Source organism: Homo sapiens, chromosome 13, assembly GCF_000001405.40.
Source record: "Homo sapiens chromosome 13, GRCh38.p14 Primary Assembly".
NCBI lineage: Eukaryota > Metazoa > Chordata > Mammalia > Primates > Hominidae > Homo > Homo sapiens.
In genome coordinates this window covers 23,785,695-23,800,488 of record NC_000013.11, presented here as the reverse complement: position 1 = coordinate 23,800,488, position 14,794 = coordinate 23,785,695, and the positions used below count along the sequence as shown (strand labels likewise).

The following is a 14,794-nucleotide window of genomic DNA, read 5'->3' as shown; positions in this document are numbered from 1 at the left end:
ACCAACAGGCTCACCTTCTGCTGTTACCACTTCTCTTCCATTTAGAGAACAGTGTTGTGTTGTTGTGTTTTTTATATTCATGACTGTCTCTTCTCAGAATATTTTCCCTAAGCGATTGTGTATCTCTCCTATTTTTAATTCAGGAAATAGAAAATGTAATATTTTTATTTTTGTAGCATTCTAGGTTTGTAATTTTACATTTTCACCCTCCTCTCTGACACAGTTGAGATACAGTCGTGTCCAGAAAGCTCTGGGATGAAACTTCTAGCCTTTGATCCTCTGACTCTGTTCTAATGTGTATTTTTCAAGTACAAAACATGAACAGCTGACTCTAGGTTTTGAAGATCTGTTAAGCAGTTGTATTTTAGTGTTTTGACCTAATTTGGTAGGCTTGTGGGTTTGGGTGGTGAGGCTGTGTCTCCAGCACAGCTGTTCTCAGAGTGACAGTGTTCTCTGAATAAATCTTGCCACCAGTGAGACTCCTTTTTGCCCTTTAGTGACCTCAAATTGAAAACAGAATAAGAAAGTTCTGAGCACTCTAAGTATTTACATGAAAATATAATAATACGTCTAAGAAAATTGTCTTTCTTCACAACTCACAATTTAAAATTCACCATCTTGATGGCATAAAAGTTGTTCAAAGCTAGAATGAAAAAGTTATTTTAGGAAAGCAGTTACTGGGACTGAAGGATATGTTGATATTTGGTCCTTCTCGTTAGAACAAACACCAACAAAGAATATGAAAAGAAGACATGTTTCTTGTGAATAGGATTCACTCCACGTTTAGGGTTTTATTTTTGCATCCAGCAACAAACTGGCATATTATAGTGACACCGTGTTAGCATTAGTTAAAAATTATCCTAGGCCGGGCGCAGTGGCTCATGCCTGTAATCCCAGCACTTTGGGAGGCCGAGGCGGGCGGACCATGAGGTCAGGAGATCCAGGCCATCCTGGCTAACACGGTGAAACCCCATCTCTACTAAAAATACAAAAAATTAGCCAGGCGTGGTGGCGGGCGCATGTAGCCCCAGCTACTTGGGAGGCTGAGGCAGAAGAATGGCGTGACCCAGAAGGCGGAGCTTGCAGTGAGCCCACATCGCACCACTGCACTCCAGCCTGGGCGACAGAGTGAGACTCCGTCCCAAAACAAAAACAAAAACAAAAAAATTACTCTAATTTGCCTGGGTGTGGTGGCTCATGCCTGTAATCCTAGCACTTTGGGAGGCCGAGGTGGGCGGATTGCCTGAGCTTAGGAGTTCGAAACCAGCCTGGGCAACATGGTGAAACCCTGTCTCTACTAAAATACAAAAAAAAAAAATCAGCTGCGCGTGGTGGTACATGCCTGTAGTCTCAGCTACTGGGGAGGCTGAGGCAGGAGAATCGTTTGAACCTGGGAGGTGGCAGTTGCAGTGAGCCGAAATCACACCACTGCACCCCAGCTTGGGCGACAGAGCAAGACTCTGTCAAAAAAAAAAAAAAAAAAAAAAACCAAAAAAATTATTCTAATTTACCCTAGAGAGGGGATGAGGGATGTATTATATGTATTAATCCATTCTCACGTTGCTACAAATAAATACCTGAGACTGGGTAATTTATACGGAAAAGAGGTTTAATTGGCTCGTGGTTTTTGCAGGCTGTACAGGAAGCATAACACTGGCATCTGCTCAGCTTCTGGGAAGGCCTCAGGAAGTTTACACTCATGGCAGAAGGCAAAGGGGGAGAGTGGTGTCTTACATGATGGCAGCAGGAGCAAGAGAGAGAGAGGGTAGGTGCCACATACTTTTAAACAACCCGATCTTACAAGAAATCACTATTGTGTCAACAGCACCAACGGGGATAGTGTTAAACCATGAGAATCCACCCCAATGATCCAATCCCCTCCTACCAGGCCCTATCTCCAATGTTGTGGATTACAATTTGACATGAGATTTGGGCCAAGACACATATCTAGACTATATCGGGGGATTTATATAATCTATAAACATTGGTTACCTGTCCATCTTTTTGAGTAGGTGTGTGCTGCAGACTTATTGGGGACATAATCAGATATACCTGATTTGCTGCAGTATACTCAAGGTGTATTAGTTGAGAAAGGTTGCTGCTACTGGAGACTGGTTTCTATTCAGACTAATTTCTATTAAGTCTAATTATGTAGAAGTGATATATATTTCATATTAAGTATAATTTTCTATGTGTAACAAACTGTTTTTAGAAAAAAACTGCCAAAAATTGTGCTGAATTTAGTCAGACACTCCAAAGAGCAAACACACTTTTGTTTTTTAGCATAAAGAAAACTATTTCAAATCCCAATTAAAATAGTTGTACAATAATTTGCTTTTTGTATTTATATTGTGATAACTACAAATTTTTAATAATTGATATAATGTATATGTATGTGTTATCTTTTTATTAAGTGCCTACTACGTGCTACCACATGGTCTAAGCAATGGATGTAACAGTAAATAAAGTAGACCAGAATCCTTGCTCTCATGGAGCCTGTATTCGAAATAGCCTTTTAGATGTGTATTTGCTAACCAATTCATCATTATATCTGGCTGTCCTGTCAGACATCTCGTTATTAAGCAAAATAGTTCTCAAGCCTATCAAATTGCTTTGAGTTGTGAGCAGAGAGACTGAGCATAAAAGATGAAAAGATTGAGACATTCTGATGCGTATACAACTAATACCGAGGCTATATTGGGATCCTCGTTTTTAATTTCCAGAGGGAGGCTCCTTCCCTGAAACATTAATGAGAAAAAGGTACCTTTTGTGTTTTTGTAGGGCTCTTGCATTCTTCCTCACTCTTGATGATGTGGCAACCTACACCTATTTGTTGTGCATCAGCAAGCTTTCCTGGAGGCTAAAGAAACAAGATGACCAGGCAGAATAGAGGAGTGCTTTAGAGGTTCACGGCAGCCAGCAGACAGACCTGGGTGTTTGGTGCTTGCTAGTTTGGGAGGTGGTGATAAAAGAGAAGGAGTGGGAATGACACCCACTGTTTTAATAAAATGAGCCATCTGTGGGGGTGGGGATGACGTTCAGAAACAGAGTACAGGAGGGGTGGTAGCTGCTTCATGCAGTGAGGAGTGCATGGGTGATGAATTTCATTTGATGTGACTGTAGAATATCCAAGTGGAGATGAACAGTGTTGGGCCAGTGGGTCCACAGCCCAGGAGACAGAGCAAGGTGGGAGCTCTGTAGATTTGGGAGTCATTAGTCTAGTGAAGGTACTAACTGTGGGAAGGGGCAGCAGGGAACAGGGAGAGTTTGCTGTGTAGGATGAGGGGAAATTGAGGAGATTACCCAGAGGTGTGTCCGTCAAAGGGCACAGACTGGGTCAGCCAGTGTGGTTGGCATGATGTTCTCATTGGAACAGCCTTTTCTCAAGTACCAGCAAAACCCAAAATTTTTAACATTTTCTTTTCAGTTTCTACTGCTATAATCACAACAATATAATGCTCTGCTCCTTTCTATTATTTTAGGGTTACATTGGCTGTATAGTGGCTTGAAACATCACTTATAGAACATTTGTTTTGGATGTGTGTTGTGAGTTCCCAAGTAACAGAATAGTGAATGAACTTTTAGCATATAACTTATGTGTAATTTGAGGGCTTCCCATGTTAAGATTGCTTGATTTCTAGAGAAGATTCTTAAGCTGACACTGCTGTTACCATGATTATGTATGCAAAGGAAAGTAACCACTGTACCAGCTTGGAGATGGAGTGCAGCTAGTGGTGAACCCTGTTGTTTACATAGTGTGCTCATCCGGATTAACTTTCAAACATGCCTCTTAACCATGTGGAAAGATGAGAATAGGGAGATGAAATCAATATAATGGAAGAGTGCAGAGAGATTTTGAGAGTACTGTTACATTTACTACGTGGAGTTTTTTTGTTTTTTTTTTTTAGTAGTCCCAAAAAGAAGAAAAATTTAAAACCTACCATGAGAAAATGGCATTGTTATGCACAATTTTGGTGTTAATGCTTTAATATATTATTACTACTAGAGTTTCTTTTCTTTCCTGTTCTCTCATTCCCTTGATAGTCAATTTTTGTTTGTTTGGTTTTTTTTTGAGATGGAGTCTCGCTCTGTTGCCAAAGCTGTAGTGCAGTGGAACGATGCCAGCTTACTGCAACCTCTGCCTCCCCGGTTCAAGCAATTCTCATGCCTCAGCCTCCCCAGTAGCTGGGATTACAGGCATGCACCACCGCCCTGATAATTTTTGTATTTTTGGTAGAGATGTGGTTTCGCCATATTGGCCAGGCTGGTCTTGAACTCCTGGCCTCAAGTTATCCGCCCACCTCGGCCTCCCAAAGTGCTGGAATTACAGGCGTGACTCACTGCATCCTGCCGATAGTCAATTTTTAAGAGCTTCTTTGTTCGATATATAGAGCATACATGTATATACATATACACACACACATATATATATAATATATGAAGATAGGTGACATTTAAACACTCAAGCATATTAACAATTGTGTGTGTATATGTATGACAGGGTCTTGCTCCATCACTTAGGCTGGAGTGCATTGGCATGATTATGGCTCATTGCAGCCTTAACCTCAAGGCTCAACTGACCCTCCTGTCTCGGTTTCCCAGGTAGCTAGGACTACAGGCGCTCATCACCACACCCCACTCCCAGCTTTTTTTTTTTTTTTGGTAGAGATGAGGTTTCACTATGTTTCACAGGCTAGTCTTAAACTCCTGGCCTCAAGTGGTCCTCCTACCTCAGCTTCTCAAATGTTTTTGTGTTTTTAATTTTAACTGTATATCTTAAAGCTGTTCATGGGTGACTTTACAACTTTATTTCAGTTGTTAATATAAAAGTGTAGCACCACGTATTGACCTCATGTAGCATCAAGTATATAATGATTTTACCTTAAAAGCGTTAATTTTAGAATAGTTGATAAGACATGAAGATAAGAAAATAATTATCCATTAAGTGATTTCTGTCATCTAGATTAAAATGTCAATCAGATTGTTCCCATTAGTTATTTTTAAACTAAGACAGGTAAGTAACCGTGATCATATGGGGAGTCCTTATACAGAAATCTTAGGGTTGCTTTGGACCTTGGCTATTTTTATCCCACACTTGTTCAGATGTTGGTTGAAAGAATGGCATAAGGGTCTGTTTTTAAATGTATAAACAAATATATTGTCTATTAAACAATAGGACTGGAGCCCCAGGCGGGTTAAATATTTACTGCTCTCTCTCCAGAGTATTCAATTTAAACTATTTGGTAAAAATGCTTATTCCTCCTATTCTTTTTTTTTTTCTTCGCCCTGGGGAAGAAGTTTCCTCCTATTCTTATGCCCCAGCTCTCCTGCAAATGGAAAGTCTCTTCCATGAGGTGAAGTTAGTGCCTGGGCTGAGCTAGCTTGGAATATTTGATGTTGCTAAGCAAACATCAGGTTAAAGAAAACAATATTTATTTTTGTTTTTATCTTAAATACGAAGAAAGACCATATGGTGCATATCTAGAAACACCTAAGTGGTTAATTGCATGTTAAATTTCTTTCCTCTTTGCCTGCATAAACAACTGAAAAAATATTTACTTTCTGTGTCATGCTAGGTTTATTTATGACTTTGTAACTAAAACACAGAAGTGTTATAAATTGAAACTTTAATCTCATGATTGACTCATTTTCTAAAAATTTATATGGTTTCAGTTTGTGGGACAGCTGCAACTCTAGATTTCAGTGATTTAAAACATGAGGAAATTATGACTACCCGGTTGTTTTTTTAATATGGTCCTTTGAGCCAAATCACCAACTTTCATTTTTGTCTTGGTTTTCATGAATAATGCTGCCCTTTTTTTCTTCTCGGCCTGCAATTTGACAAGCTAGATATAAGGAACTAAAAATCCAGGCTATTAGTAGAAGTTATTTCTTTACCAGGTAAACTTTTGTATCTTAAATGATGCACATGTGTCTTTTAGATTTAGGCTGTTTCTATTTCAGGAAGCGTTTTCTCTGGTAATTTTCTGAGGTAAGTCCCGTTTTTACTCACAAGGAATGAGAGCCGGACACAGGGACCATTGTGATGCCTCTTTACCTTTATGCCTTATCACCAACAGGGAGTTAAGGCAGCGTTAGCAATATGAGGAAGGCTCCAGTTGAGTGTTGTTAATTTTTAATTTTAATTTTATGTTGAGTAAGTAATACATATGCATGATTAAAAAATCACAGGGTGTCAAAAGCTTTACAATACAGTCTCCCTCCTCCTCAGGTCCCTTTCTCTGGAGGCAGCCTGGGGTACTATATCACACTGATTTGAAGATGAATTACCTCGGTTCAACATAAATTTAAAGACATAAAATCTGCAGTTCTCAGTCACTTCCTCCTCTTAATATTCTTCTTGCCTTTTCTCATGGATAGAGCAGCTCTAGACTGGACTCACAGTCTTCCCCTAATGAGCGTCCTAGGAAGTATCTGCTATACAACTCTCAAATCCACACAACATTAGTGAGGTCTTTTCTAAATACAGATTTGAGTGTGACGTCCCTTCCCTTAAAACCCTCAATGGCTTCCATTGATCTTAAGCTAAAGGCCAGAGTCCTTTGCCCACTTGCAAGTTCCTGCGTGGTCTGGTCACCCAAGCTTCCTCCAGCAGGACACAGCCTGCTTCCTTTGGCACTGGAGTCTTGGCACTTGTTTCTGCTGCCTGGAGTGCTCTCTTTCTGCTCCCTTTGCCTTCTGCTTGAACCATCATTTCTCCAGACCTGGCCAGCCTCTGTTACAGTCTCCCAGGGCTGGGGTCCTTCCCTTAAGATGGGTCATCTCAGTTTATAATGTATTGATGCCATTTGATTCATTTCTATCTTCCCAACTGGAGTGAACCTCAAAGAACAGCATGGCTCATTTCTGATTTGTTTATTGTTTTCCCAGGGCCCTGAACAGTTAGTAGTATGTACCCAATAAATATTTACTGAGAAATGTTTTTACATTTTTATTGAGATATAATGTACATAAAGTACACAAATCTTAATTTATAGCTCCATGAACTTCTGGAAATATGTTTGCCTGTGGAACCACCACCCAGATCAAAATATATACATCTGCAGTTATCCAGAAGGCTCTTGCGACCCCCTTTAAAGTTAACCACTAGTTTTGCCTGTTTTGACCTTCATGTAGGTGGCATCATACAGAAATCCTCTTTTGTGTCTAATGACTTTTATACAACATGTCTGTGAGATCCACTGTCTTGTTGCATGTTTTAGTAATCTGTTCCTTTTCATTGCTTTGTGGTATTTTCTTTTCCAGTATGCCACAACTTATTTATCTGTTCCACTACTGATGGACATTTGAGTTATTTCCAGTTTGGGGCTTTTATGAATAAAGTTCCTATGAATACTCCTGTATGTGGTTTTTGGTGGACATAAACATTCATTTTAGCTGAGTGAAATGGGGAACACTTTTGTTTAGTTTTATTTTGCTATCGCCAGTTTTTCAAAGTGATCATCATGAGTTACATTCCAACCAGCAATATTTGGATATTTGCTTCATCCTCTCCAGTTATAATTAAAAGGATGTAATCAATCCTTTTTACTTCAGCCATTCTGGAGCATGGAGAATGATCTCACTGTGGTTTTAATTTGCACTTGTCTCATGACACCCACTCATACTGGGTGCTTCTTCATATGTTCAGAGGCCACTTGAATGTCCTCTTTGTGTAAGTTTTCTCTAATCTGGATGAAATAGGAGGGTTTCAAACAGAGGACTGACAGATGGAATGTGGAATGTAAGAGAAAGAAGTGAGTTGAAAATTACTGCAAGGGTTTTGATCTGAGCACCCAAAGGATGGCATTGCCATTAAGATGGAGAAGACGGCCAGACATCGTGGCTCACACCTGTAATCCTAGCACTTTGGGAGGCCAAGATGAGAGGATCGCTTGAGCCCAGGCATTCAAGACCAGCCTGGGCAATGTAGACTAAAAAATTATCTGGGCATGGTGGCACGCACCTGTAGTCCCAGCTACTTGGGAAGCTGAGGTGGGAGGATCACTTGAGTCCAGTCAAGGCAATGAGCTGTGATTGCACCAGTGCATTCTAGCCTGGGCAAGACCCTGCCTCAAAAAATAAAGATGGAGAAGACTATGAAGACTATGGGAAATGTAGGTCTTAAGGGAGAGCAGAAGATCAGGAAATACTAAGTTTAAGACGTCTACTAAACAAACCAGAAAAGATGTCAAATAGGTAGTTGGATGTACAAGTTCAGAGGACTGGTCTGTGCTGGTGATACCCATTTGGAGTCATCCCCACACAGATTGTATCAAAAAGCCAAGGAACTGGGTGAGATCAACCCCAAGAGTAAGTATAAATGGGAACAATCTGTCTAAAAGATGAGCCTTGGGGCATTCCAACATTTAGAGGCGGGGACAGTGAGGAGGAACCAAAAAAAAAGGTGAATTGAGAGGGAGACACCAATGAGGCAGGAGGAAAAAGAGGGTAATGTCTTGGAACCAACTGAAGAAAATGTTTCAAGGCAGAGTGAGTGAGTGATTGTATCAAATGGTACCTTTAGGGTAGAAGAGCTGAGAACTGAGCAACAACTATTGGATTTAGCAAGGTGAAGGTCGTTATTGACTTGGATAAGAACATTATCAGTTGAGTGGTTGGTGGGACAAAGGCTAAATGGAGTGGGTATCAAGTAAAGTGAGAGAGAAGAATTGGAGGCAGTGAGTAGAGGCACTTCTGGTGTTTTCCTGCAAGAGAAGAAAAATTGAACTTGGAGGAGATGTACAGATAAAGGGAGGTTGTTTTTGTTTTTTTGCTTGACTGACTGATTTCATTTGGATTTTTAACGAGGTGAATAATATGTGTAAGTGAATGGGAAAGATCTATTAAGACTGAAAAGCCAGTGATGCAGGGGAGAATAGACAAGGGGAAGGGATTTTTGTACGGGTGGAGGGGTTAGCCCGTAGAGCCCGAGAGCACAGCCTAACCGTCTTTAGGGTGTGTGAACAAAGATGCAAGCAGTGGGTAGATGGTGTTGTGGAAGTCCTCTTCCGGGGCTTTGCTCAGTCAATCGGAAGCAGGGCACCAGCTGAGCATGCAAATGGGGCAGTGCTGCTGGCATTTGAGGAGAGAGGAGCAGGTATAAAGGAGAGTGGGAGAGATGGCAGAGTGGAGATGTGAGTTATGATTGCAGGCCACGTTAAGGGCCCAAGTGGGGTTAGTGCCACTGGTTTGAAAAGAGAGCTGTGGGGATGGTTGTGTGCTTTTCCTGGCCATACTCGGTGCCTAGCTTTCACCAGGGCTGTGGTTTTGCCAAGTGAATGTAGAGTATAGTCCAAGAGCAGGCCATGGACCTGAGGGTTATTCAGAGCAACTGTGACAACTGACTGTGGGATTTAACAAGGCAGAGGACAGTGAGCACATGAGGGAGCTCTGGCCTGGTGAACATTTGGAAGTGGATTGTGAGGTCCCAGTGGGATTGGAGATAGGGTACTAGAGAGTTAGCTGAAAAGACAGGGTGTGATTGTTGAGCAAAGGAATGCTTGGAGTGGATATTATGAAGGGGTTCCAGTTACAGTAATGGCAAGGCCTAGATTGTAACCATGGAGTGAGAGGCTGAGTTAGGGCCAAGAACATCATCACTAAAGAAGAGAAGGTCAAGGAGTCGAGAGGCCAGAGTATTAGTTGCCTATTGTTGCTGTAACAAATTACCACAAACTTGGTGGCTTAATATAGCAAAAATGTGTTTTCTTAGAATTCTGGAGAAGACCACAGTGAGTGTTAATGGGCTGAATGAAGATGTCAGCAGGGCTGACTTCTTCCAGAGGCCCCTAAGAGCATCCAGTCCCTGCCTCTCCCCACTCCATGAGGCAGATGGTGTGCCCTGGCTCCGGGCCACAGGCTGCATTCTCTGCTTCCCTCATCACATTGCCTCCCCCTCCTTCTACTTCTTGCTTTTCTTTTATAAGGACCCTTGTGGTTCTGACTAGGGCGTACTCAGATAATTCAGGATAACCTTCTCACCTCAGGATCTTTAGCTTAATCACATCTGCAAAGTCCATTTTTTTCCCAAATAAGGTGACATTCACAGGTTCTAGGGATAGGATGTGGACATCTTTGGAGGAGAGGGCATTATTCTTTCTGCCACACAGAACATTTGAAAGATTAGCTTTGGGGGCATTGCTGTCATCAGAATTCTAACAGGAGTAGGATTGGTGAGAGTGAAGTAAAACAGAAGTAAGAAATCTTCAAGGAGTGAGTGAGAAGGACGGACGCTTCTGCTAGTGACTGCAGTAGTGAAGGGTAAAGAGGATTATGGTCCACTGTCAGCAAAATCAGAGTTGGAGTGTTCTGAAGGAGAAGGAACTGGCAGTGAAAACCAGAGCCAACACCTACTTGCCTTCAGACCCAGTCATATGCAGGATTTGGCGAGAAACCAGCCGTGTCATGAAAAAGTTGCAAGGGAAGTATGGTTCTTAGCAGAGACCTGGGTTTCTTTTAGAATAAAAAGGTGAAAGGAACCTTCAAAGAAGGCAGAGGAAAATACAGGTGGTTTTGCTGATGACTGGATTTTAGAAAGCTCAGCAGAAGAAAAGGGAGGAAAAAGAAGAGGGCAGAAAGTGGATACAGAGAACAGCCAGGAGAGCAGTGCTGCCATAGTCATGGGTATCCACAGGGTTAAAGGTCTCAAGACTGATCGCAGTGGAACTGCTAGTGCGGGTAGAGGGGAGGGTGGGAATTCCCAGCAGAGCACGAGGGCGTAGGATGAGGAAAGCCCCAAACCCGGCAGGTGGGAGAAACTGAGGGTCAACAAGAAGGGCATGGAAAGTGAGATCTGTTTTTATGTTAGCTTGCCAAATAGAAGTACAGTATTTCTTTCTCTTTATTTGTACCTGATACTCTGGGTAATGCAGAGGCCAGGATGACCGTTCAGTTTTGTGCTGAAGCTAAGAAGCTTTGCGTAGCTTTCCAAACTTTGGAGTAATGCTATGGGGCCAGAATAGACTGAGGACTAAGGCATTTACCTAAGGTGTTCCGGGCAGAATTAGTACACACATTGCCTGACATTTGGACTGGAGCTCTTTCTGTTACTCTATTTTACTGTCATGAAGTAAATTCCAGATAGAGTAAACATTTAAATGGAAAAACATAAGCCATTAAAAAAGGCTTCTATAGACAGATAGCTCTTTTTCATTTAGAGAAGGTTGGTAAATGTAATAGAAATGGAAGAAATCACAAATGCAAAGAGTAGTAGATTTGAACTTCTCTCATAAAACATGATGAATAAAATGTACTGGCAAACAAACTGGTTTTTTTAAATTATAACATCTGTGACATATGGTTTACGTTTTGCTGCATAAAGAGCTCATACAAATAAAACAATGACAACAGAAGAACAATTTTTTAAAAATCCCAACATTGGCCAGGTGCAATGGCTCACACCTGTAATCCCAGCACTTTGGGAAGGCAAGGTGGGCAGATTGCTTGAGCCCAGGAGTTCAAGACCAGCCTGGGCAACATGACGAGACCATGTCTCTACAAAAAATAAACTTAGCTGGGCATGTTGCTGCATGCCTGTAGTCCCAGCTACTTGGGAGGCTGAGGTAGGAGGATTGCTCCACTGAGATAGATAATTTTATATTTGTTCATAAAAGGATAAATTTGTTTAAAAGGAGGGACCAAGAACCTGAAGAGTTTACATATCCCTTAAGCCAATAATGTAACATTTAAGAATTTGTTCTAAAGGAATAAATAGAAATCCAATAAAGCTTGGTGAACTGATCATCATAACATGTACAAAAACATTGGAAAGAATCCAGCATTCAAGGAATGGCTAGATAAACTAGTGCGCATCATGTGGTTGTCACTAGGCCTGCTCACTAGTAATCCAGCTCTCCTATCTCTGCCCCATGGTAGAATTGCACTTTCATGCCCCTTGCAGTTATTTGTGGCCTTGTGACTTAATATGACCAAAGAAATGTGAGCAGAAGTGATGTGTATCATTCCTAGGCTGTGGCCTTCGAGAGCTACTATACAGTTGTCCACATCTCCTGCCCTTGGTTCAGCAGTCAATGACATTCCAGTTGGTGGAGGTCTTGAGAACATGGGTTCCTAAATACTGATAGTGCGAGACGGGCCCACTGACCTGTGATGACATGTTGTATGCTCAAGGAGCAAACACAGAGATTTTAGGGTTCATGTGATCACATTGTAACATAGCATAGCCTAATATGGCCCATATGAAATAATATGCAGTCATTCATGTTTAGAAAGAATTCATAAATAAGTTTAGGGAAAAACTGATAGGAAAGTATACATAGTGTGATTTTGTCTTTTTAAAATAGACTGAAGAAAACTTTGAAACATTAGCAAATATTGATCACACACGTGGATTAAGGGTGGGAGTTTCCTTTTTTATATTTTTCACAGTATTCCATTTTTTCTCTAATGAGCATGTATTCCTTCTAAAATCAGAAGAGGAAACACACAAACATATGCACACCCACCCTCCTCCAGCTGACTCCCAGTGGTATGGCCATTCAGTTCTCTGTGAACCATTAAAGAGGCCACGCTCATGGAAATGATAGTAATCATAGGGACCCTTTTTTACCTGAAGAGTGCAGCTGAGGTGGAGGATCAGGACTAAACTTAACTTGGGCTCAGAGTAGAAATTTCCTGTCATCATGGCTTTAGTTCTAGATATAACATCCATTTCCCTAGAGCCTAAATTCTTTCCCTCTCCTTTAAATGATCTTGGAGATAGAGAATGCAAACTCACTTGCCTCGGAAAAGCTGCATCCTAAAAGAGATATTCTTGGAGGTGGTAACTAGACTTTTCGCAATGCTGAGCAATCATTCACTGCAGAGCACTCCCTGGAAGTGCCGTGGTAGGGGACACGAGAGAAAGAGAAAGTGTGTTATTTGCCTGGATAAAACACACATAAATCAATAAATGAAAATGAATAGGATGGTGTGAGGAGGTGGGACCTTTGGGAGATCTTTAGGATATGAAGATAGAGCCCTCATGAAGGGATTAGTGCCTTAGAAGAAGAGACAGGAGAAGCATGTGCACTCCTGCTGTGCTCTCTCTCTCTCTGTCTTCTCTCTCTCTCTCTCTCTCTCCCTCTCCCCGTCTCTTGCTCTTGCTCTCTCTCCCCCCACCCTACCATGTGAGGATGCAGCAAGCAAACTGCCATCTCCACACTGGAAGCAGGCCGTCATCAGACACTGGATCTGCTGGTGCCTGGATTCTTGCACTTCCCAGCCTCCAGAACTATGAGAAATAACTTCTATTGTTTAAGCCACCCAGTCTATGGTATTTTGTTATAGCAGCCCAAACTAAGATGTGTAGTTTAAACTTTGTACATTTTTGTTCATCAGACATTTTCCTAAGACCTTTACCACTGTGTGTCAGACACAACATGTGGATACTTTGCACTGAGCAATCTGCTTGCCACTTACCTGCGTGTCAAGCTGTGGCGTTCCCATCACCCCTGGTTTGTCTCCCATGTGTGACTTCTGCTCCTAGTTGAAGTTAGTATTCACATTCACTCTGCTTGCTCTGAAATCTTGCCCCAGACCCTCCTTGTGTTCAAGATTGTGTACTCCTTTTTCGTTATTATAGAAGGTCTGCATAACTCTGTGCACTTGACTACTTTAGCCTTAAAATAAGTCCGTAACAGTGTACTGCTGGGCCAAAAGGTAAGCAAAGTTGATGTTCCCAGACACGTTGCAAAGTTGTGCAATAGATTAGGTAGTTTTCTTTTGACAACCCTCACTGCTGATTTTAATTTTTGCCAATCTGATGCTCCACAAATGCTAACTTAGTTGTGCTTGCAATTCATGTATTACTAGTAAAGTCACTCTTTCCTTATTTTTTTTTCTTTTTACCAACTATATGGGGAGTGAAATGCCTATTTTTATTATTTTCCCATGTTTATGTTGATCTTTCTTTTGCTATTGATTTTTATGAAAATGTTAATCATTTATCCTTCTTGATATACGTATTTCCCCTATTTTGTTATTTGTCTTTCATCTTTTATGATTTTTTAACATCGAAAAGATTTTATTTTTGTTGTTTTGCTTGTATGTTGTTGATAGCTTTAATTAAATCTATTAGACTTTTTCCGTTTCCTGTTATGCTTAAAGAGAACTTCTTATCTAAGATTATTTAAATTTTTGCCTATATTTTCTTCTAGTATTTATGATTTTATTTTTCACATTAAATCTTTAATTATGTAAATTTGTTTTGATGTAAAGTATGAAATTTGGAACCAGCTTTAGTTTTTCTTGTCTTTTTTAAGATACGGTCCTCACTCTGTTGCCCAGGCTGGCATGCAGGGGCTTAGTCATGGCTCAATGCAGCCTTGACATCCCGGGCTCAAGCAGTCCTCCCACCTCAGCCTCCTGAGTAGCTGGGTCTACAGGCATGTGCCACCATGCCTGGTTAATTTTTTTTTATTACTGTTTTTTGTAGAGACAGGGTCTCACGATGTTGCTCAGTCTGGTTTTCAACTCCTGGGCTTAAAGGGTCCTTTCGCCTTAGCCTCCCAAAGTGCTAGGATTACAGACGTGAGTCACTGGCAGATTTAGTGTCTCTACATCGTTATAATTCGTCTTTTCCCCACTGATTTGAAAAGGTATTTTTTTGTCAGATACTAGGTTTTCATATGCAACAAGATTTGTTTCTCAGCCTTCTGTCTCAGATGTTCTTGCCCAGGCTGGATAATCATTTGTGAAGTTTTTAATTGATTGTTGATGGATTTTTAATATGAAATTTTTACTGTTCGATTTACCTGCCTATTGCTAGCATACTATCATATATGTTCTTCTT

At 41.0% G+C, this 14,794-nt stretch overlaps 1 protein-coding gene across 4 annotated transcripts in view, besides 1 other annotated feature; it reads left to right on the top strand.

Moving 5' to 3' along the window:
- Positions 1-14,794, top strand: part of MIPEP (mitochondrial intermediate peptidase) — a 159,212-nt gene that overhangs the window by 88,912 nt on the left and 55,506 nt on the right. For 2 of the 4 annotated variants that reach the window (XM_011535098.4, XM_047430368.1), the window contains exon 17: positions 1,634-2,494. The exons of the other annotated variants lie outside the window; for them this stretch is intronic. In XM_011535098.4, the coding sequence (XP_011533400.1) occupies positions 1,634-1,651 (18 nt within the window). In that variant the 3' untranslated portion in view covers positions 1,652-2,494. Of the gene's footprint in view, positions 1-1,633; positions 2,495-14,794 lie in introns of those variants that run through there. 4 annotated transcript variants of the gene reach the window in all.
- Positions 10,545-10,594: an enhancer, noted in NCBI's record as "active region_7465". NCBI's record gives its function as "activates an Ori minimal core promoter by ATAC-STARR-seq in GM12878 lymphoblastoid cells {active_cell/tissue: GM12878}" and the evidence as "EXISTENCE:reporter gene assay evidence [ECO:0000049][PMID:35858748]".